At 36.8% G+C, this 24,580-nt stretch overlaps 1 protein-coding gene across 3 annotated transcripts in view, besides 1 other annotated feature; it reads left to right on the forward strand.

The window, feature by feature from the left end:
* IL1RAPL1 (interleukin 1 receptor accessory protein like 1) overlaps positions 1-24,580 on the forward strand; it is a 1,369,273-nt gene that overhangs the window by 1,281,661 nt on the left and 63,032 nt on the right. The window lies entirely within an intron of this gene.
* Positions 1,794-1,873: a silencer, noted in NCBI's record as "silent region_20723". NCBI's record gives its function as "represses an Ori minimal core promoter by ATAC-STARR-seq in GM12878 lymphoblastoid cells {active_cell/tissue: GM12878}" and the evidence as "EXISTENCE:reporter gene assay evidence [ECO:0000049][PMID:35858748]".

Consider the following 24,580-nt stretch of genomic DNA (forward strand, 5'->3'; position numbering starts at 1 on the left):
AGAGTTTATATCTCCTGGAATTTTAAAGTAATAATTGTAGTGTGACAAAACAATGTTAAGTCATAAGATACATTTCAACGTTTTAAAACACACACAGAATACATCAGTGCCCATTATGTGATAACTGAGAGATTAATTTGCAACCAATAATATCCTTGGTATTTTAGCGTTGTGGATTGTCAAAGGCTTGCTTATTGCAGGTTAAGACATTAAAGGGCCCACATTCCCACTTCTTATTAAAGGGAGACTTTACGAAAGGTAGGCACTGTCTCTACACTTCTGGGAAGAAAGCCTGGTGATACGTAATGCTCCCCCTAGCAGAAAAATAGTGGTCACCAGAAGCATCTCTCCATAAGATAAGGTGAGACAAATAGTGCTGGGCCAAACCTTGTGAACTATGGGCTTCAACAAAAGCTAAGAGTCTCATCATATAACTCTCACCTAGACTCAGACTATTTCAAGCAAGAATTAAGGTAATGACATGAACTTCTTGCCACAGTTATCTCTTTATTATAAAATGTCCTTGACTACAAGGAGGTGTAAATAATAACTGCCATTCCATGGATAATCAGGGTAAGCTCTATACATTGTCTGCCAATTACCATGTACTACTTGAAAATTGTTAATTTAGTTGAACTTGAAAAAATAAACAAGTGGCCCTCTTTGGCATAGTCTAGAAGAGACTGCATAGGAAAAATGGGAAATTAAGGTGGAGGATGATGGATGGGGTTCTCTGAGTACAGCAGAGGGGGCAAGCAGAAGAGTTGGAGCATCATGAATGGGGTCACAGTACATTAGTATGGCTTCTTTGGCTTGATTGTGGAAATGTGAGAGACAACTATTGTGAGATTCAAAGACAGTGGTAACATATATAAGAAGTGACTGACAAGATGACAGCCACTCAGGAAAACTGCCTCAGAAGGCAGCCAGAAAGGATCAATTCTGGAAAATGACTGGCGGAAGCTATTAGGCATATTGAATGGGTCTGACTTAGTGGTTGATTTGACAATGAGAGCAAAAGATAGATGTTATAAAACATCATTCAGAGTCAATGAATCTGGCTATTGCCAAAGACAGAGAAATGAAAGAATAAAAGGGAAGGTATGGGGAAGAAAATAAGAAAAAAATTAAATGATTATCTTTAGTTTCTGCATTAGTTCTTCTGCTTTGGAATCTCCCTAGCTGCCTGCAGCCAGGGGCAAAGATAGTTTCACCTAGAGGGTCCTGATTGAGGCTGAGGATACCTAGGCTCAATCACAGCAGTGGCACTTCCCATTCAGAGGAAGGCTTAACATTAATTATGAGACATGAGATCCAGGTGCTGAACTGACAAATCTATTCTCTCTCCCAAGGCTTCCCAAATCACAGCTCCGATAGGCAGTTATCCTAGCTTGTATTAGTCATAATTCCCTGTAGCCAGAGCTTCCACTTTTCCTTGCGTTCTGATTTTGATGCTATCTTATAGATTACCCTCCTAATTACAACTCACTGCTTACCTGGTTCTCCAGGAATCATAGCATAGTTTTTTGAGTACTCTGTCTCACTTGCCTGGTCAGGACACACTACCTCACTTTCTATTCTAACCATTTCTCAATGCCGAGGACTCATATCTCAGACTCAAGACAGTTATATTGTTTTATTTTTAAAGTCACTAAGATATACCCATATCTTGGTATTCCATAAGCAAGAAGGAAGTGAGATGAGAAAGTGGTTGCAACCACAGTGTTAAAAATATGGACTGGAAACTTGTCTATTTGCAGATGGTATTAGATTTCTATTGCTGCTGTAATAAATTACCACAAGTTTAGTGGCCTAAAACAACACAAAGTTCTCGTCTTACGGTTCAGTAGGTTAGAAGTCTGACATGGGTCTTACTAGAACAAACTCAAGGTGAGGCTGAACTCAACAGGGCTGAATTCCTTTCTGAAGCTCTAGGAAGAGTCCATTTCCTTGCCTTTTCTAAATTTTAGAGGCTGCCCACATTCCTCAGTGTGTGGCCCCCTTTTTCCATCTTCAAAACCGGCAACGTCTAATCTCTCTGGCCCTTTTTTCCATGCTGTATCTCTGATCACAGCGGGACAGATTTTCTGCTTTAAAGGACCAATGTGATTAGATTGGACCCACCAGGAAAGTCTCCCATCTCAAAGTCTATAATGTTAATCATGCCTGCAAAGTCTCTTTTCTCATGGAAGGTAACATATGTACAATTTCTGAGGTTCAGATGTAGACATCCTTGGGGGACCATTATTCTGCCTTCCACAAAGATATTTTCTAAACCATTGAGAACAGATGAGAGTCTCATATCCACTAACAAGAGCCATTTTGATATGCAACACAGCAACCCAATTGACAAGGAAGTCCTCAGAGATAGTGTAGACTGTGATACTCTTCATCTTTAATTCTATAGGTTTTACCTGCGTAGTGTCTGACCTGAAAGTGACAAAGTTTCCCACACCTTGCTAGATATTCCCACACATTCCTATTTAGCCCATCTAGACATTAGAAGGGAAGCTTTCCTATTTATGATTCCTATTTAATTGGAGTGAATGGATTTCTGTCATTTCCTGTTGTTCCTTCCATAGCCTTATGATTGTGTGGTAATTTGAAATCTAGACCTTTTTCTTTTCTTTTTTTTGAGATGGAGTCTTGCTCTGTCACCCAGGCTGGAGTGCAGTGGCGCTATCTCTGCTCACTGCAACCTCCGCCTCCCAGGTTCAAGCGATTCTCCTGCCTCAGCCTCCCAAGTAGCTGGGATTAGAGGTGCCCACCACCACGCCGGGCTAATTTTCATATTTTTAGTAGAGATGTGGTTTCGCCATGTTGGCCAGGCTGACTTGAACTCCTGACCTTGTGATCCGCCCGCCTCAGCCTCCCAAAGTGCTGTGATTACAAATGTGAGCCACTGTGCCCGGCCCAATCTAGACCTTTTTCTAAGTTAGTTATAAAATTTTACATTTTTCCCTCCTTGCAAATTTGTTCCCATTTGAAGAACCATCTGCAAGAAGAAGAATACATACCATTCACCAAACCTTCTATCCGTTGGGTCTATCAGAGAATTAGTATTGGTGGTGTCTTCTAGTCCTCTTGCAGATTAACAGGTTATCCACTTGACCTGATTATCCATGACATCAATTTGGTGTATCCTAAACTTCATCAGAGCAGAATATTCCTCAGAAGGAATATCATGTCAGGTAGCTTTTCAGCACTAAGCCTATAAATATCCTGCCTGTGTAGGCACATGGGAGTCAATCCTGAGAAAGCAGCTCATTGAGGCAAAAAGGGGAGATTTTTAGCTGAATCAGACAATTACTCAATAAGTCTGCTTTGTGGATGTTTGTGTCTCCCCCAAAATTCATATGTTGAAAGCTAATTCCTAATGCAATAATATTAAGAGGTGAGACCTTTAGGAGGTGATTAGGCTCTACCCTCATGACTGGGATTGATGCATGTATAAAAGAGGCCCAAGGGAGTTTCCAACAAGTGCTGGGCTATCTGCTGTTAGCTAGCACTTAAGATGTCTTACCTGTAAAGTGTCTTTCACTATAATTAGTCTTTCTGACTAATTGTCAGATTCAGCTAACAATCTCTTCTTTTTGCCTCAATGAGCTGCTTTCTCCCATTTGCCTACACAGAACATAATTGTTTCATACACTAGAATTAGATCAGAGTAGATTCAGGCTCTTCATTACAAAATGCTCATCTCTGCTGGATGTTAATATCAAAATCAGAATTCTAGTTCTATCACATATTGACTGATATAAGAATAAGTTTAGTTTAAAATAAAAGGTGAGAGAAAGAATGGAAAAGTAATAATATGGAACATGAGCAGCGTCTCGACTTGTTTCTGCTTCCTCTCTTTTTCTTACTAATTAAAACAGATAACAACAAAGCCCTTTGGTCACAGCCCACACAATCACAAGTGGTTCCCTTTGTTGATGTGATGTCACTGGAGGGGAAATGAGCAGTTGACAGGCTGTGCAACCAAGAAGGCAAAATGAGCTCAACCATTTGAATAAAACATAGCAGGTCTCCCACTCCATGTCATTGACTGACATAACCCACCAGACAGTACCCTTTAAATAGGCTGTCTCTCTTTTATGTAGCAAATAAAAAAAAAAATGTAACATGTAAATATCAGGTGATTCTTCTTCAGCATCTGTGGTTGCCAGAAGGAATTTACTGCCTTTTCATTGTGTGGTTCAACTTGGTCTTCAGGTGGTGTGCCCCAAAATCCACAATTAGTGGGATCCAGTGGTGCTGTGGATGTTTGTGCCCCCCCCCCAATTATATGTTGAAAGCTAATCCCTAATGCAATAATATTAAAAAGTGAGACCTTTAGGAGTTGATTAGGCTCTGCCCTCATGAATGGGATTGATGCCTGCGTAAAAGAGGCCCAAGGGAGTTTGTTAGACCCCCCACTTCCGCCCTGTGATGACACAGCAAAAAGTGTAATCCGTGAAGCAGAGAGCTCACGCCAGACATTGAATCTGCTGTCACATTAATCTTGGACTTCCTAGCCTCCAGAACTATGAGATATAAATTTTTGTTCTTTATAAGCCACCGACTTTGTGGTATTTTTTGTTATAACAACTTAAATGGACCAACACAAGTGATGATGTTTCTAGAGTCTGTGTATGTGCATGTGCCTAAGTATTTTGCCAATTTAGCGTTAATGAGTACAGCAATGCCAACAATGGATCCATTCTTTGCCTCTCCTATTACCGCAGGTCTCCTTTTCACAGATCAGTATAGATAAGGGTAGTAGAGATAAATATTACGAGGTTATCTGTTAGTGCCTGTTCAATCAACTCTTGATTTTACAGTAGTCTTCCTGTGTACCATGACCCAGACATCTTATAAAAGCAAAACACAAATTGCAGTTTTAAAATGCTATTGCTCTGCACCATTATTTTCCTCTTCCCACTAATTTGCTTGCGATTCAATGTGTTTTCTAGCATCTCTCATGTCTTGGGTTCTTGGCCCTCATATTTCCCTTTGGATTGCTTCATTTTGGTGGATTTTGGGAATTCCCCCTTGGCTAATAAAACCTTGGTTATTCCTTTCTGTTCTGCTGCCTAGATGACTATTCCCCATTCCAAACTTTAACCCTGTGGAACCCCACCCCCACACAGGCCATCTATAGACCTTTGTTCTTCCTAACATTTTCAACAGGGCAATGAAGTGTTTCATAAATATTTGGGGTTTTATGGAAAAAAAATGCTCTAAGGCAGCTTAAAGCTATTCTTCAAAATAAGAAAAGTATTCTATATTTTAAACATGTATATAGTCATCTTCTTTACTGGGGAATTAATGGAGTACTCTAAGCTATTGCCCCTCCCACTCTCTTCTCTTCAGCTACCCAAAGTGATGATGTGGAACTTCCAGATTTTCTCCTGCAAGTTCATGCTTTATTTATTCCATTATGAGGTCCACATCAAATTATATTACCATTCCTGGGATTCTGGAGTTCAGATCTTTGGAAAATCACAGTGTCAACAGAAATTATAAGATAAAGGCACTTATATATGAGGAATGATCCCTTGCCCTGCATTTACAGATTCAGATCAAAAACCAATGCCCACATATTTTATCTCTAGCTTTTACTAAACAGTAGAGTCCGTGACTTCATTCACAGTAGGTGATTGATACATTTCGACAAAAGTATTTTGCAAAGACGCTTCCTGCAGCATCAACAGTAAAAGAGATACTGAGGTAGGTGCTATATGTATCTTCTGGATACAAATTTCCACCAAAAAAAATTTCATCTTAGCACATATCTTTGACTTATGGTGTTCAATTTTAAATATAACTGGCAGTTTTGATAAAATGCATTCCTTTCCATTGTTTCTGTTACAAAGAATGCAATTTTAAGGTTTTCTGTTTTTGTAAATTGGAGCGGTGGATACAACAGTTACCACCCCCACACATACACTTCTCTAACACATACATATATACACACAGTTTTAACATTCCCAATTCTTTAAAAAATTATCTTTGATCAAATTATTGTTTATATGATGTAAATGCCTTGGACACTACTGCCTGTCAGTGATGCGAGTCAGTTCTTCTATTCCTTTTATTGGCTCCTCAGAGATTTCTGGAAGTCCATCTATAATAGAATCATTATTTCATAATGATAACATATTTTAAAAACTCATGGTTTCAGAAACATGAGCAAATTGCCTTGTAAAAGCCTACATTGAGGGAGTTGTGCAGACTTTAAAACACCTCAGCTTCTCACTGCACATTGGATATGGTTGAGTATTGCAAATACAGCCATATTTATCCATGCTATCTAGCATTAGACAGTCCTTATCATCAAGTGATCTGAGGGCCTCCTTCATCAGCTTCCCTTGGAATGCTTGCTATCAAAGTACTTTCCTGAGCCCGCTACAGATTTAACAAACCAGAGTCTCTGTGCACCCAGAGAAGGGAGTTTGCTCCAGTGATTTTCGTGCACACTAAGGTTGGAGAACCATTGTCCCTCAGAGCCATTAGAAATTCAGCTTGCATCAGTCTAGAGTTCTACAAGAGGCAATCACAACAACATGCTATCTACGAAAATCCTATATTTCCATCCCTGACTCAGAATCTATAAATTTCAGTTTAATTTCCACTAAATGTATTATCCCGGGAAAAAGGGCAGGAAGTAATTATGGAAAAACCATTGAAACGTAAGCATGGTGAGCAGATAGTATGAATATGAGTATAATCTGACACTTTTAATATCTCAGAGAACAGAGGAACAATAGGGAAAGCAGGTACTGACCAGCCCCAGTTCACGTTTGTTTCTGCCCTCTTGGGCTGTGCAACTGTGTGACTTGGGCAAGTTACATGACCTTGATAGTCAAAATGTGAATGACAGTATGTGTATATTAGTGATGTTGTGAGAATTAAATGACTGATATAATGTGTCCACCAAGATAGTAGACAGATAGTAGGCCCCCGTGTATTAGTTACCTTTCTTGTTTTCTACCACTACTACCCAAGAGGGAAGCTTCTAAACTCTGAAGGAGATCTGTTGATAGAGTCTAATGTGTCATCCAGCTTTGTCTCTGGGTCATATAGAGATACAGTTTGTATGCCAAAAAAAATGTAGTCCTCTATACAGTTCAGAAAATTACCACCAATATGCTTTATCAAACAGCAGCTACAGTGTAGTATATGCCAACCTCAGAGTGGGTCTCCTCTTAAAGGTTCCCAAGTATCCAGTCATGTAAATGAAGACTGCATCTAAGGAGTTAGCTGTACAGAGAAGAGTCTCTGAGAAAGCGAAATAGGGTTATAGTCTCCTCTAGTCCTTACTTTCGCTTTAAGGAAGGAGAAAATAGCAAAGAGTGAAGAGGCCTGGAAAATTGCAGTAAAACAGAGCAAATAGGATAAGAGACTAATAAAATAAGTGGAGCACAGAGAAACTAAATTGAATGACAACACATGAGAAATGTACTCAAGTTTTGACTCCTGATTTGTGAACCAGAATCTGCCAATAACAACTACCAAATAGATCAGCCCAAATATCTATTAGTAACCCCCAAGAACAGTGCGATGTAGTAGAGTGACCCAGCAATAAACAAGGCCCCATCTCTGCCTTCTAGTGTTTTACAGACTAGGAGGAAGCCTCCACAAATTTGGCACAGTTAATGGGTAGCTAATCAGAAAAAATTAAGCTTATATCAATGTACTTAAGCTGTGAAGAAAAAGCCTCATACTTCTTGTTAAAAATAAATATAGTTTGATTGCTCAAAGAGATCCCAGTCCACAGATTACCACAGTAAATAATTGCACGCCCATCTCTTTTGCAAAGCACAAAGCAACCTGCTCCACGCGCCTCAGATGCCTTTCTGAATCACCACAGAGGGAGACTTTTAATCATTTCAACAACCAGAGCACCAGCTTTGTTCTCAAACAATGCTGGAAGGTTTCTCACACCTCTACTATCCATAGTATTATAATTTTTCATTTTTCATAGGCAGGGGTTTTGTTTTATTTGGTTGGTGTTGTCATATCCCAGAAACGAAACAGGCCTGCAAAATCAATGCCACACGTACAACTATGTATATATTCTCCCCTGTAAATCTCCATTAGCTTGATTGGGACTCCATAGTGGCTGGAGGTATTGCCTGCATCTGCCTTTCATTCTTAGTTTGGGCAAAATGAGTGGTGAATGACTCTTATACCTGCCTTTTAAAATTGGGGATCTCAGATGAGCCCTGGCTCTACCACTAATTGCATGGAACTACTTGGTAAGCAGCATCACTGAGGCATCAGCATCCCATCATATTTATTTCTAGGGAAGATGACAAATTATGGCCAAATTAGCATCGATATGAACAAGTTTGTAGAAGGGTCAAAATATAAATACAATATACAAATAACTACAGCAGTAATGTTTTTAATCACTACATTTTCAAAAATATTCTACCGAAAAGGGTGATTAACAAATTATTATTATGTTAACCTAGAAAAAGAACATAATCAGTATATAATCACTAAGAAGACATTAGGCACATTTAAATAAGTAGGTGTTTGCATGTTAATACACACGTACTCTTAGCTCAGGAACATGATCCATTAACCGATAGAACGAGTAAGATGTTAGCTAATTGGTGAGTTCTTGCAGTGAGAAATGTCTAATGTGAGTCCCTGGTACCTGTGATTTTCAAAATTATTTAAACAGGAATCAAAACTGTTTTAATAATTTTTGAAAGCATTCCCATGCTTTAGAATTTTGGTTTAAGGCTTAGACCAAAATCATCATGGAAAAAATGTGTGTCTAGTGCTGAATCACTTTGACTTGTATTAGAATGTCAGCTCCAAGAAGACAGACATTTTTGTCAATTTTTAATCATCAATGTACCCACAGTGTTTACAAGAGTATCTGGTACACTGTAGGGTTATTAGCAAATATTCACAAAATAAACAAATAAATAATACTTACCTGTTTCATTACAGTTTCTCTGCCAGAATTGTAATCATTGGTCAAGTTTGATAGTGGACATGGGCCTCTTTCTTGGGAAGTAATAACAATAGGAAGATATGGTACTGAATGCTAGCTTATGGGAGGTGTGGGTTAAGAGGTCTCAGGGATGCCCTGTCTTATAAAGAGCTCTGCACAAACTTAAGCTTAAACTAACTGGAAAATTAGGACAGCCATCTCTGTCATTTCTCTAGCGTCTTCTACCCTCTATTGCTTTCCAGATGCAACTCAGGGGACTCTCCTTCCCATTTTCCTGGCCCTTTGCTTTCTTTATTGGGAACTAGTTACCTTCAATTCTCCCCCTTTGGGTTTATATGCATTTTAGATTATTATGGTTATTCTTCTTGTAACCTCATTTGCGTGGTAGATGCAAAACAGAATTTGAGACATTGCCATGAACAAAAATGGAGCCAATTATTTGTATTTACATACTTTTCTGAAGTCTATTCATCAGATTTTCTGATTCTTAGTGAGGACTTACTTAGGATTATTCAGATGTGGTCAAGACAAAAGCAATGAAATAATCATCTGAGGTTTTGTATTATCTACAGATATAATTCTTTATATTTGCTAAATAACAAAAGGAAATATTTTTCTCTTGTTCTCTCTGAATGAAGGGCAATTGTGCTGTTTTTCTGTCACTGTCTATAATTTTACTTCTAAGAAATGGCATGAAGGTATATCAGTTACATAAGAGGGCTTTTATTTGTCCTTTTTGGTATTTTTTAGTGTTTGGTTTAATGATTAAAATATATTGTATCTCTTAGATAGTTAACTATACACTTACCATATGACCCAGCAACCTTACTTCTGGGCATTTACCAAAGAGAAATGAAAATCTATGCTCACACAAAAACCTGCACATGAATGTTTATAGCAGCCTTATTCATGATTGCCAAATAACTTAAAAAAGCAGCCTACATAGAGTTCATTGGGTGAATGGATAAAAACCAACTGCGATACAGACATACAATGGAATAGTACACAGCAGTAAACACCAAAGCAGACTCTTGATATGCACACAACATGGATAGATCTCAAAGACATTAGGATGAGTGAAACGATCTGGTCTGAAAAGGTTACACACTGTATAATTCCATTTATATGACATTCAGGAAAAGATAAAACTATAGTAATAGAGAACAGAACAGTGGTTGCCTGGGATTAGGAGTAGGGAGAGAATGCCACTTCAAAGGAATAATAGGATTAAGACTTTGGGGGTGATGAAACTGTTCTGTAACCTGATTGGGGTGTTGGGGTGGTAGTTTTATATATGTGTGTGTGTGTGTGTGTGTGTGTGTGTGTGTGTGTGTATATATATATATATAATATTTGTGTACATGTGTATCTGCATGTATTTGAACATATATACAACTGTATACCAAGAGAAAAAAAGGTAATTTCCCAGTATGAAAATTTTAAAAGTAAAATTTAAAATATATCAAAAATATCATATTGTTCCTTATAAATCTATAAGCATAGAGAAAAAGCTGGAAGGGTACTCAAGAAACGTTATCATCTGTGTGGAGGGACTTCAAAATAAGAATCTATTTCTTTTGTCTTTGGAAAAAAAAGCTATTTCCGTTTTAAAAATATCGTGAAGTCTTTTGTTTAGAATTGGTAAAGGTGCTTTTCTAAAAACGCTCATTTTCTTGTAGCTTTTGGTTAATAAAAATACTCAAATTATTACTGATTATTTTTATACAGTATTTTTTCTGGCAGTATTAACAGTATTTGTATATGGTGAGTGTTATATTACTTCTGCCAAGCTTGAAAACAGAGATGACAAGTTCCGTAAGTGTAAAAAAATAAATGAAATTAATAGTTTCGTGCCTAAGAGCCTCTCTTTGCATATGAGATTAGTACACTGTTCTCATGCTTATTTTGTATTATAATTCACTTCTTCAGAAAGCTCACTTTATTCCATTCAGTTGCAAAGCTTGGATGGTTGGTATGCCTATAATAAATTTAGAAAATTAAGTTATTACTGCAGTGAAGTTTTCAAAACTCCATCCACTCACAGGTATTTCAGTTATAATTTTGATAATGGAGAAGATGGAAAGATAGATACTATCAATATTTTTTCCTTTGCTACATTTATTCCCTTATGCCTTAAAAACGAGGGCATGATATGATATTCCATATGCTAACGTGTGTATATGTAAAAGAAAGAGAAAAAGGAACTTGCTCTATACTTTAATTTCAGAATATGGCTACCTTTGCTTATGTTAGAATGTCAGCAACAGAAAATTAAATAGCCCATATAATTAATGCTTGTCTTTTATTCCAGAGTAAGTTTCTTTCTGTGTTTTGCACATAGTGTAACACAAGTTTGTTGCTGTTGCTTTTTTCATTGAGAAATCTTTAAAATGATCATGAAGTGTGCAAGTCAAAGTAAAAACAATAAAACGAGGTATTCAAGTAGATACTGAGAGGTAAATGAATTATGTTCGTTTTATGGCAACATCCAAATATTTTGTGTTTCCATTTTATGTCAAAAGTTAAGCTTTAGCTGGAATAAAAAATTTCCTCTCTTGGTAAAATCAGTTGACTTAGCAGTTTTATGCAAGAACTGAAGTATTCAATCAACATTTTTTTTTCCATCAAACTTCCCTTTTGACAGGAAATTCTGTGTCTGATTCTTTTTTTCTTTAAACTGCATTCAAAAGAATAATAAAAGAGCACCACATGTCCTCTTTGCTGAAGGAGTTTTTAAAGAGATACCACAATAATTATTTTCTTGCTTGGAAGCTACCTTTATTAAGAGGCCAATTTTATACTGGAATCTACTATTAAAATTATGTGACTAATGTTTCATTATGAATCATGATCACAAACAGAGTCATTATGTATGGGAGACCTGAGAAATGTTCGCCAACCACATTCAAAAATAGATATTTGTGTGTGTTCCAGTTACATTTTATTTGAAAGATCACCTTCCTTTTTTTCTTCCAAATATTCCCTTTCCCCCTCCCTTGTGGTCCTCCTCACATCTGAGCTCCTTTTCTTTTCACAGATGGTGATACTCTTTGAGGTCAGGTACCTATGACCTGGAGTGTTTCTTGAAGCACTTCCAATATTCGGTTCTACTTTTTCAATACTCATGACAGCACGCAGTCTAAGGCAAAACAGAAGTGAGGGTTGATTGATCATAAATATAGCTGACACCACCAAGCTGTCAGGGAGCAGGACACTGAATTGATCAAATTTTAAAAGTGGAGGATGTGTGGAGCCAAAAGGAGGTCGCCTTATTTTGGAGTCATCAGCTGAGGGCTAAGAAAAGAAAATTCTGGAATTCTGCTCTGTCAGGATATGGGATGGGCTTTTAGAAGAAAATAAGGAAACTGATTTCATTGCAACATGACTTTTGGCAGTTGTTTTACCTTACCTTTTGCTAAAATGTCATCCCCGCACCCCCCTCATGACCCTTTACTATTCTCCTTCTCTTTATTTTTAATTTTGTAAATTTTAATTTTTGTGGTGACATAGTAGGTATATATATTTGAGGGGTACATGAGATGTTTTGATACAGGCATGCAATGTGAAATAAGCACATCATGGAGAATGGGGTATCCATCCCCTCAAACATTTATCCTGTGAGTTACAAACAAACAACTCGATTACACTCTTAAAGGTATTTTAAGTTATTTTTTACCTCAGAAATCTCTGGTTCATATTATCAGAGACTTAATAATATTTATTGATCAGAATTTAACATTTGAATAATTTATTCTTTTCTTATATGTACAGTAGTGATTGGGTGGGAAGAGGGCTGAGTTCAAATATTTACTCTCCCACAAGCTACTTGGCAACTTAGGTAGTTGGAACCTCATGATCCAAGCTCTGAAATCTTTGGAAACTACATTGTAAGAGACAATTGGTTCTATAGAGGGAAACCCTTGCAAAAGTTACATGTGCTCTACTGATATATCAAATGTATGTGTGTATGTGTGTGTGTATAGTAGAACTGATGGTAGATTATTTCAATTATATAGCATTAATGACAGGTGGACTCAATTTATTTTCTCTAAGCAGCTGAAAATTCTCACCAAGAAACAGCCTTCCTGTATTCACCACCTTTATTTGAAGTTGAGAAATAAAATGTTGCCAAGTATATCCAGGGTCATCCCATTTTTCTAAACACAAGTTTTCTCTGCACTATGACACTCACATTACTGCTGCTAACATGACGAGCTTCAGATATTATCAGGAGGCATTTTGTATAGTAGTTAATAGTATAAGTTCGGGTACTAGTCCTGGATTCAAATTTTGGGTTGGCTACTATCCAGCTTATAATCCTGGATAAATTATTTAATTGCTCTCAGTTTCAATTCCTCATCTTCCATAAACTGGAATAATACTAGTACTGACATCCAGGGTTGTGAAGAGAATAATCTACATCAAATGTCAACAGTCATTTTCTGTAACAGACCAGACAGCAAATATTTTAGGTTTTACAGGCCATATAATATAGTGTCTTTCACAACTACTCAACTGTGCCTTTATAGTATAAAGGTGGACCTATACAATACATAAACAAGTGGGCATGGCTGTGTTTCAATAAAACTTTATTTACAAAAACAGGCAGGAAGACTGATTTAGCCCACTGGCCCTAGTTGGCAAACCTCTGGTCTATATTAATGCTTAACACAGTTCTAAACATTAATTTTAATTAATGTAAATTAAATGTTATTAGTTCTGTGGCATACATTTCAACGTATGCCATTATTCAAGAATATGTCACAATCATACAGGCCATACTGTATTTCTCCAGAAACTAAAATTACTATATCCTAAAGGAAACTACCATGGTTTGAAGATTTGTTTGTGAGAAATTCTGCAGTAGCATCTGGTGATCTGGTGAGAGGGACATAATAATCAGTAAATAGTTTGCAGTACCTTCTTATCAACTAAATAGATGAACGATGCTATAAAAATGAAACAAAAGTGACTTAATGAAATCTTCAGTAACGTAGGGTCACACATTTATTCATTCTTCAAAGTAGTTATCCTTTCACTATAATTTCCTTCCTAGATTTTGCTAAACATATACAACTGGTAGAAGCCTAATGTGCTGTTCCTGTAACATTATATTCCTGTTCCTTGACTTCCTGATATAATGAAGCTGATTATATTCCGTGTTTGATAATGTTCATCCTATTAGGATTGGGAAATCCATTGACCACCGAGCACAACCTTATGTTCATGTTCTTATCATTAGCACCACTCCAGCTATGGAGCTGTCAGCATTTTCAGCCTAAATGCTGCTTTCAGGGGCCTGCAATTCAGTCATAAAAATTAGCTGCAGGCAGAAACTTGATATATGAAGTCCAGATCCAAGAGAGAATTTTATTACATTTTTAACACAGAGAGAGAAGTACATTAGACCATTATAAAAAAACATACAAATTAGTGTAGTGAACTTGCTCTGCATCCTTTTCTGTTCTGACGTAATTTAAGATTGCATTCATATCTGCCCCCTTCGTTTTCCATGTATCCATGAAGGAATCTTACGGATTTCCAGTGCCAGGTGACTTTACGACAAGTTCCCTTAAGGTTACATTTAAGATTGGAACAGAGCAGCTTGAGTCTCTATTTGTCAATGGGAAAAAGATTTTCCAGCCTTTTATGAATTCAAAATTAATTAGAATAAATTTTCTGCCATAATGCAGCAACACAGGGTATGACCTGCATCAGGCTTCATGTTTTATGATTGAGTTTTAAGAACTGGCTTGTGTGCAAAGACTTTTCTTTGACGTGAGATTGAATTAAGGAAACTTAATTAACATTTTCTAATTAAATACTGCATTGTGAACTCAATCGCATTGTACTCTGCAACTATGATGAGATTGTTCTGTCTTTATTTAAATAAACAAGATGGCTCACAGGGTTGAGAGCTTGGTTGATAACCATCCCTTTCTTTCCTCAGTTGTCACCTCTGCTTTTCAGAAATATTATTAGCCACTCACCTAACTGCAGGAATTTGGTAGACACACATTTCTCAAAAATGCTCAAGGATACTAAAAATGATACCTGATCTCATGATTGACGAGAGTAGTAGTCTACCCATTTAATACCTAATTCCAGTTCATTCTATTCATTCGAGACAAACCCTATTTTTATTCCCTTTCACCTTATTTTCTCCATGGAATATGTGATGTATAACATGTATCATGTAATACACAATAGGTAGCGTATAATATGTGATTTCCAGTGACCACCATGGTGTTCAATTTAATAGTTAATGTGCCATCCTCATCTTACTTGCCCCGAGAGCTGCACTGGACAAAGTACACACCATTTCTCCATGATACTCATCTTCCCATGGCTCCCAGGACACCACATTCTCTTAGTTTCCCTCCCACCATTCTGGTCACTCCCTCTCACTCTTTTTTGCTGGTTAGTCCTCTTCCCCCTAGTCTCCTAATATTGCAGTGCCCCAGGGCTTAATCCTTGGTCATCTTCTCTACTCTCCCTACTCTCATTCCACTGATGAGCTCATCCTATCTATATGCCAGTGCCTCCTTAATGTATATACTCTGCCCTGACATTTCTCAAATCTTGCATACCTAACTGTCTATCCGTCTCTGCTGGAATAGACACTCCAAACTCCATATGTTCAAAATCGAGTTCCTGATCTTTTCCTGCGGACCTGCACCACCCACAGCCTTCTCTGTCTCAGGGACGGTAACTCCAGTTGTCAGTTGCTGAGGCCAGAATCTTAGAAATAATCCTTGACTTTTTATTCTCTCACTCTTTACATCCAATCTGTCAGGAAATTTTCATGCCTCTCACTTGAAATTTATCCAGCATCTAACCACTTATCACTTCTCCAACTCTTATCAACCTGGTATAAGGCACTTACCACAGTTTGTTGCTCCAAAGCTCTCTGTTTTACATTGTCAGCAACAGTCCTTACAATGATCTACAAGGCCCAATCTGGGTGAATTCTTCATCCCCCCGTCTTAGCATGTCTCCTCCTCTCTGACTTTCTTATGCCACAACAGCCCCACTGGCCTTCTTGCTGTTCTTCTGACATGCCAAGCACACTTCCTTCTTAGACCTTTGTACTCACTGCCTGCAATGAATGCCTGCAATAACACATCCTCCTGGCTAACTCCCTCACCTCCAAGTTTTTTCTCAAATGTCACCATTTCAGTGAGTCCTATTTCGATTTCTATTTAAAATTGCAAACCTATTCTACTGCCAGCATTTCTGAGGTCTACCTTTTCTCCTTTCCCCATATATCTTATCACCTTTGAACAGATTATCTAACTTTTGTCTGTCTGTCTACCCCTTATCATTTGCCCACCACATTAGGATGCAAGTCCCATGGGGGCGGAAAGTTTTGCTTTGTTCTTTCGTACATCCCAAGCACTGAGAGTAGTGCCTGGCACATAGAAGTAACTCAGTGAACATCAGAACTATTAAAAGCATATACAATCAGACGGGCATGGTGGCTCATGCCTGTAATCCCAGAACTTTAGGAGGCTGAGGCAGGAGAATCTCTTGAGGCCAGGACTTCAAGACCAGCATGGACAACATAGTGAGACCCTGTCTCTACAAAAAATGAAAAAATAAAAAAATCAGCTGAGTGTGGTGGCATGCACCCGTAGTCCGAGCTACTCGGGAAGCTGAGGCGGGAGGTTCACTTGAGCCCAGGTGTTCGAGGATGCAGGGAACTATGAGTTCACCACTGCACTCCAGCCTAGGTGACAGAGCAAGACCCTGTCTCAAAAAAACGCATATGTAATCATTGAAGAAAATTAAATTATAACTATGAAAATTCAAGCAGTCACAATATAGTGCAAAACTGAATGGTTTATTAAAGATGTTTAATTTGAAGGAGATTTTTTACAAGTAACATTTGTTTTAAATTATTCTTATTAACATTTTAAAAGATTGATTTTGCATGATACAAGAAGGATGGTGGCTTCCTATATTACAGAAGTAATATTTTAGAGAAGTAATAGTTCCAGTCATTGCCACAGAGTTCTAAATAAAATTTGCACATGGAAAATTAAGCATGTAAAGCAATTGCATCCTCATGATTTAGCTAAGAAAATGTCCAAAACAGTTAAGGTCAGTCGTAGATTTAACTCAGTGTTTCAAAACCATTTGATTCATTGGTACCAAAAGCAAGCGTTTTACATTTTTCTCCAAATCTTTGGATGTTGTTATTTCTTCTTTAAGCACCATAAATTTTTAGCTATGCATGCTTACTAGAAGTAAGCAATAAGCAATAACTTATTCCTTTTCATCTGTGGCTTATAGAACCTCTTGCTTTGTGCATATGTTTTGCCCCTCTATTTCACTCCAGAGGTTTTGATCATATCAAGTTTCACTTAATAAAGATGAGTAGAGGGCAAAAATCAGTAGTAACTTTGGGGAAAAGTAGAAGTTCCCCTTAGGCATTGAATTATAATCAAGTGAGGAAAAGCTATTATTGATACTCATTCAGAATTTCATATTAGATCATTGAAAATCTTTAGGAATAATGATTGCGGAGTCACCGCTAATAACTTAATGACAATTGAATATGTTAAAGGCTTTGAAAAAGATAAAATAGATGTAGATGACAACTCCTGACTCAGATGACTATAGTAATTTTTCATAATTACCATTCACAGAATACAATTTAGATAGAAATAAGAGCAAGAGTTAAATGCAATACGGAGTAGCTCTAATAGGACCTAGACATCAGGGTTAATTTGAAAATTATAGTTCCTAAAGTAATTGTGTTGCAGAAGCCTATCATACAAAATATAAACCATGAAATAAAATTTTTATGAACTTCTTACTAAAGCTGTTTTTATACCCTTGTTTTGATGATTTACATTTCTAATTTCACAACTTTAGCCCTTAGTTGAGCCCTAAGCAAATTTATGAAAACATATTTCTTATTAGAGTACTTGAAATCCCCTGTATGTTACTAATCCCAACCAATGAATAAGAATTTCCATTCTGCAATAAATATCATTGCTATCCCATAACCTATGTTTCACTTGTACAAGAAAATACTTCTTCAGCACAAAGAAGGAATGATTAATTCTTAAAATATTAAGAAAACAGCCTAATAAAGTCTCTCAAATTCCACTTGTAAAAGCAGAAAAAATATTAGAGTAAAATCGCCACAGATTGTCTCCTCAAATCATAGGAACATGAAAATTGGAAACTTTCAGCAAAATTTATTTTTAACATTGTTCAACTGTTTTGTATAGAACATTTAACGTTAAGAAGCAATTTTGTGGTTTGAACTATTTGCATGATAATTTCTGGTGTGGAAGATGCCTTAGAGCTGTGTTGCTTCAACTTTTCACATCAGCACAGTAACAGTGGGGCCAATTTGGTCTCTTTATGTATATTTCAACATTAAAGTTATTTTTAGACAAATCTACCATTGGAAGATTATTGTTGCATTGGTGGTGGTGAGTGAGATTCAGCTATGTCAAATCTCTCCATTTAAAAAAATGAGGCTGTCACATATTTCAGGACTTCTCTGATGAGGTGTCACAGTATTTTGATTTAACAGACTTTGTATAACTATGTGGATACAATAGCAAAAGTTTATTTTCATTTTTTTTTTTGTAAATTGTTTTGAGCTAGGTCAGAATGATTTCTAAGCATACACACGCTAAAACAATGCTAAGACATAGAAAACAGCAAATTTTTCAGGCTATTGGTAGATAGTTTAATAAGTTCGTCCTCTTTTGAGAGGTCTAGTCACCTGTGTCTAGTGTTGGATGGAAAGGGGCTTGGATCCACTGGTTAGTCTTCCTTATTGTCTCAGAGAAGGAGAAAAGGGCTTTATCGTGAAGAAAAATGACTGATGGAGCTCTATATACACAATAGTATAATTTGAATTTAATAATCAACTAATAGTACCAAACAATTTATAACCCCCATAAACTCCTAACACCCGATCTTCATTTTCACTGTAATAATTCTGTCGCAATACAAAGTGTTCATAGTTTTTTCTTGTATTTGTCAATAAGATGGCTCAATTTTGGATGAGAATTTCAACCACTGTTGTTTACAGAAGTTAGGATTTTTTTTTTACCACCATGTTGAGCTCCTTGAAAAAATTAAAGGTAAACTTTTTGAGGTGAGGTAGCCTTTGTGAATAACATTGCAACTGAGGAATTTTTTTTTTTTTTTGAGACAGAGTCTTGCTCTGTTGCCCAGGCTGGAGTGCAGTGGCATGATCTCGGCTCACCGCAACCTCTGCCTCCCGGGTTCAAGCAATTCTCCTGCCTCAGCTTCCTGAGTAGCTAGGATTACAGGTGCCCGCCACCACACTTGGCTAATTTTTGTATTTTTAGTAGAGATGTGGTTTCACTTTGTTGGTTAGGCTGGTCTCAAACTCCTGACCTCAGGTGATTCTCCCGCCTCAGCCTCCCAAAGTGCTGGGGTTACAGATGTAAGCCACCATGTCTGGCCACAACTGAAGAATTTGAGGTCAAAATAGTCCTAATGAAGGCTATCATTCTTCAGCTCTGCCTTTCATGACCCTTTCAGTGTACATATTCATCTGGTTATATTTTCAGTCAATTTCTTGGCTCACCCAAGAAAAAAATGCATATCTTGTTGAAAAATTCCTCGCCAACTATTTTCCATCAAACAGTTTTTCATAGGTCTTCACAGGGAGCGTTATTTTAAATACTGAGACTCCAAGGCAAATGAAACAACCAATTCATTATGCTATAATAAAACCATAAGAAAAATAACAGAGGTAATCTGAATCGAGTGACTGGTTGTTCCACAGTGTTTTTAAAAGACGCTTCTTGTTAGTGTTAGTAAATAAAGGTGTCTATGTTTTTCAGCTTAGCTACCTCTTTTTGGCTCAAATCAGATTCTACTATCCAGTTTTTAATCAAATTTTCTCTTATCTATAATTAACCCTTCAAAACTAAACTTTAAAGTTCAACTTGTTTCCTTTTTATGACTAGCTGAAAATTTTTTAATTGTAAAAGAAAAATGCTTATAATTTTTTCTATATGCATATGATTGATTTTAAAATGTCATTGCAAAAACGATGGCCTCATGGCATATAGGTTCATGTTTTTTTGTGTGCCAGACACTAAAATTGAGGCTCCTTTATATTATTAAATTGAAACTCATGTTTGAAATAAACTAAATACAGCCTATAAGGTTTAGATTCACTGCAGTTTACTGCTGATTGGAATACTTTTGGTATCGAGTTTAATATCTGACACAAACTTTCATCATTTGTGATATTCCCTTCTAATTTATCTTGCATATTTCCACCAGTTTGAAATTTGCACTTCAAACTTCCTATTTTTATTCATGACCCATTTCAAAATATGATATATTAATTATCCTTTACTGTAAATATATGTACTCAAAGGGGTTTGGTAATACCCTCTTTGTAATAAGTATGAAAAGAAGTGTCCAATAATATGGATTGATTAAATAAATATAATCCATATAATACTCTGTAGCTACGGGAATGAAAAAAATAGAGTTACTTGTACTGATAGAATTTTGTGCTTTTTAGAAGATATATGTGTATGTGCGTCCATACATACATGTGTGTATACTGTATATGTGCGTATTTCTATATATTCATGTACATATGCATATGTTTGTCATGTTTGTCTATTATTATACACACGTGTTGTTTATATATGTAGTATTAGCCAAGAAACATACAGAAAAAACTGTTTCCATGGTTACCTCTGAGCTCTGGGGAGTGAAACCAAAGCACAGAATGTGGGTAGGAGCTCTTTACTCTTCATCATCTATCCTTTTTAACTGTTTCAATTTTTTTTTTACTATGACCATTTGATTTAGTATGAAATTTGTTATATATATATACACATACATATGATATACATTCATACATGTTGTGTACATTTATATCATATATATATTACATTATATATGTATCTATATACAATGTAGTAGCTATCTTCAAAGAAGATTTTTTATAACTAAAGATAAGAATGTTAAAAGTGAAGGAAAACCTCAAGGCCCAAATAACTTTGTTTGTAGTATTTAAATTCTGCTTTTTCTTTCTATTCTCTCACTGTCTATTCCCTTCATCACTTAAATTCATTCCCACTAAAAATGACTCACGGACATAGTTTGGAACTAGTTGCCACATCACCTCAAAGTTAAGGGCAGCAGCTTCTCTATTTACAGCTGGGAAAACTTGTAACTAAGAGGGAGGCCATAGCTTTAGTTAAATCGGCATCCAAGGAAACAAAATACCAGAAATTAACAATGGTTGCAAAATGGAGTCCTAGCCTAATCCCTCTCCTTTCTAATTACTCCCTAATTGTTTCTTAACCATGTGCCGCCAGGCTGCAGTGGTTGGGGTATGGAGAGTGAAGAACTTTTTGAATAAGGCAATTCTTACTCTGGAAGGACTAACGAAGAACCTGATTGTAACTAAAATGAGGGAACAGTTCCTACTATTTCCATCAAATTCATTCTGCCCAAGGAAAAAGATGATGATTTGATTTTAATTATGCTAACAGCATTTCAATAGCCTCCGGAGAAAATGCCTGCTTTCCAAAATGCAGATCACTAAATTATACTGTGCCTCCTAGCAACTCCTACTACTGAGAATTCAAAGCTTATCTCAACTTTACTTTGTTTTAACCATCCTAAGATTTCAGTCCACAGCTTTCCCATAGGCTCTACCTGCCTTTTAGTGTCTAGAACACACTCTCACGGCATCTGGGTCTTCAAACCCACACAGTTCCTGTGAGCTATTCAAGATAGGTCAGGTTCCAGCTGAGGTCAGGCATTGTGATCACTCAAGTTAACCCTCCTCTAAACCCTACCTCTAGTGTCCTAAATTTGCTTTTTGTCTCAGCAGATAAAACCCAGAGGTTCCCAAACCTGCTGTGCATCTGAGTCATGAGGAAAGTTTGTGAAATAGATTCTTGGTTTCTCAGCTACACTAATACACGGCAAGGCTTGCTATCCTTTCTTCCAGTTCACTGCTTCTGGGTCCTGCATGCTGGAGCACCACCAGTGCTGCCTCACCTCTGGCCTCCTCCTGACAAAGGGGTCTCTACACTCTGCACTCTGTCATCTGTAACCAGCCTTCTTAGGCACAAGCTGCCTTCTATTTTTTAACTCCCAGTTTCGTTTTTATGAACTATTCAAATCAAATAATTAAGAATAACATCAATGATGCCAGCACCAGTAGAATAAGGCACACCTTTGCTTTAGGTCAGATTTCCTTGTTCCTCTGTTTCCTGATGAAGGCCTATGCTTCTGGACTTTCCCTTGATTCAAGATGAGTGTTCTGCTTTTCCAAATGGCCATCAGCAGGGACTAATGGTGGTCACTATTAGTCTTCACTGACAGGCTTTTTAGTCCAAACTTGGAGACATGGCTATTGAGCCCAGAGTTCTCCTCACAGGCACTGAGGCACAGGATTCTATGAGCCTCCTCTAATAGGTTTCATTCACAGGGATAATGACATGGATGGATATGGTTATATTCATGTAGGTTTTAGCAAGAAAGATGCTGTCCACTGAGAGCTACCTGAAAGATTATGATACACACTCTTGGAAAAGAATAAGAGGAGCAGATTAAAATAAAAATCTTTGCTTAACAGTTTGAGTTGGATGGCTTGATGAATTGCAACACCTAGGAAAAGAAATCTTCCTAGGTTATCTTACAGTTATGATTTTTTTAAGTATAAAGGAGATGAGAACAATACCAATGTAATTCATCTTAAAAGACTTTAACCTGTACTAAAGATTTGTGAAATTCTTCATTAATTATGATTGACTATTAATACCATCTCAAAGATTTTGCTAGACCTAGAAAGGCTTTGTTAAATAATTTTCCATGTACCCCATACTCTCACAGATTTAAAACCTAACACTGGGAGATAGTCTATCAGGCAAAATTATGAACTTATATATTGATGTAGGCATAGTTGCTCATAGGTTCCAAAAGTTAATATATACATTTCCAAAAGTTAAATATAACATTGTGGTTTTGATTACATATCACGTTTTCCTTTCCCGCTCAAATGAAGTTTTAACATGATTGCCTAGATTTGGTTTCAAATTTACCTGCCTTAGAAACTGTCACTCAAATGTACAATTACTTTTTCAATGTTAAGAAGAATATGTTATGATAAGAGGTTCCTAAAGAAAGCATTTCATAGTTCTCTGGCATTGAATTTTTTTTATTTGTTACCTTGTTTACTTGTGTGTGAACGAGCATAAAGTGAACCCTCAGAGGACAAGAAAAAATATCAGGTATTTCTTTATGGATTTAATCTCTGAAAATTTTCCATCATCACTAATGATGTCCCAGGAGTCCTTGAAGCTAAAATAACAAGATATACAATTTACACATTTTTATTTAGATGCACTCATTGTTTGCAAATAACTTTGCAATCTGATAAAGAGGCAAAAAGATAAACTATAGGTATAATAAACTTGAATAAATGGATAGAATTTAGAATGTATCTGGGGGATATATCAAGGGTCTGTTTGGCAACTTGGGAAGATGATTGGAGAAAAGGACAGAAATACTTGAGGAAATCTTTCTGCATGGACTGGATCAAGTCTAAATTCCAAAATACTGTCCAGCCATGGAATGGCAGGTTAGATGACAGCTTAGAGCGAGGATTGGAAATGGGAAACAATGTGAGGATGGCAAAAGAGGGTATGTCTCAAGATGAGATTCACCAGAGCAGAGCAAAGCAGTGAAGAGCCTTCACTTCATTGGACAGCACTTGCTCTTTCTCCCTTTACATAGATTAACCTTGAGTTTAGCAATGCTTATGGAGACTGCTAGAGAATGAAGGGAAACAAGACACAATCTGTTAAGTAAAGAAGCCTAGAAACATTGGGTATGTGGAAATATAACATGATGGTGCTAACAGTCATTATGGTGACTCTCATTTGTAGAAGACTAGTTCTGTTTCATTAAGAGATAGGTTTCAGCTTGTCACCTAGTAGATCTTATCTTAATCATGGCTGTGTATGTTGACTCACATACCATTTTTACTAGTATGCACATCCACCGTTTACTGAGCTGTTGCTCTGTGCTAACTTACAGTGTGCTAAGAGCTTTATATACTGTATTCATACAGTTAATCCCTATAACGAACCTAGGAGTGAAATTTTTCACACCCAGTTTTGCAAATGAGAAAATTAAAATATCAGAATAAGTGACATAACTTTCTTAAGGTCAAGGAGATAATAAAAGATAGGCTTCTATTTTGACATAGATTTAGCTGTCTCAGGGGCCTAAATTCGAGCCACCGCATTTATGTTTTAGAATAGCGATTGCAAATTGTTGACTGGAGCACCAAAATCAGCCTGGGGACCTGCTTTACTGATTCTACATACTATGTTTTCAGACAATCTGAATGTGCATTTTTATGGAGGGGAGTGTTAACTGGAGTCACCGTGCATCATTGTTTTAAATCATCTTGACGTTTAAGATTTCAGTTTTTCATTTAAGGTTACAGGTTGAATAATATTTCTCCCTACTTTATCAAAATATATATCATATATATGTATAAAATAAACTAGCACAACAGTTATTTAAAGACAGTTCAATTGTTTGTACTGAGATATACAAACAGAAACATTTGGG

The sequence above is a fragment of the Homo sapiens genome, chromosome X (genome assembly GCF_000001405.40).
Source record: "Homo sapiens chromosome X, GRCh38.p14 Primary Assembly".
Classification (NCBI taxonomy): Eukaryota; Metazoa; Chordata; class Mammalia; order Primates; family Hominidae; genus Homo; species Homo sapiens.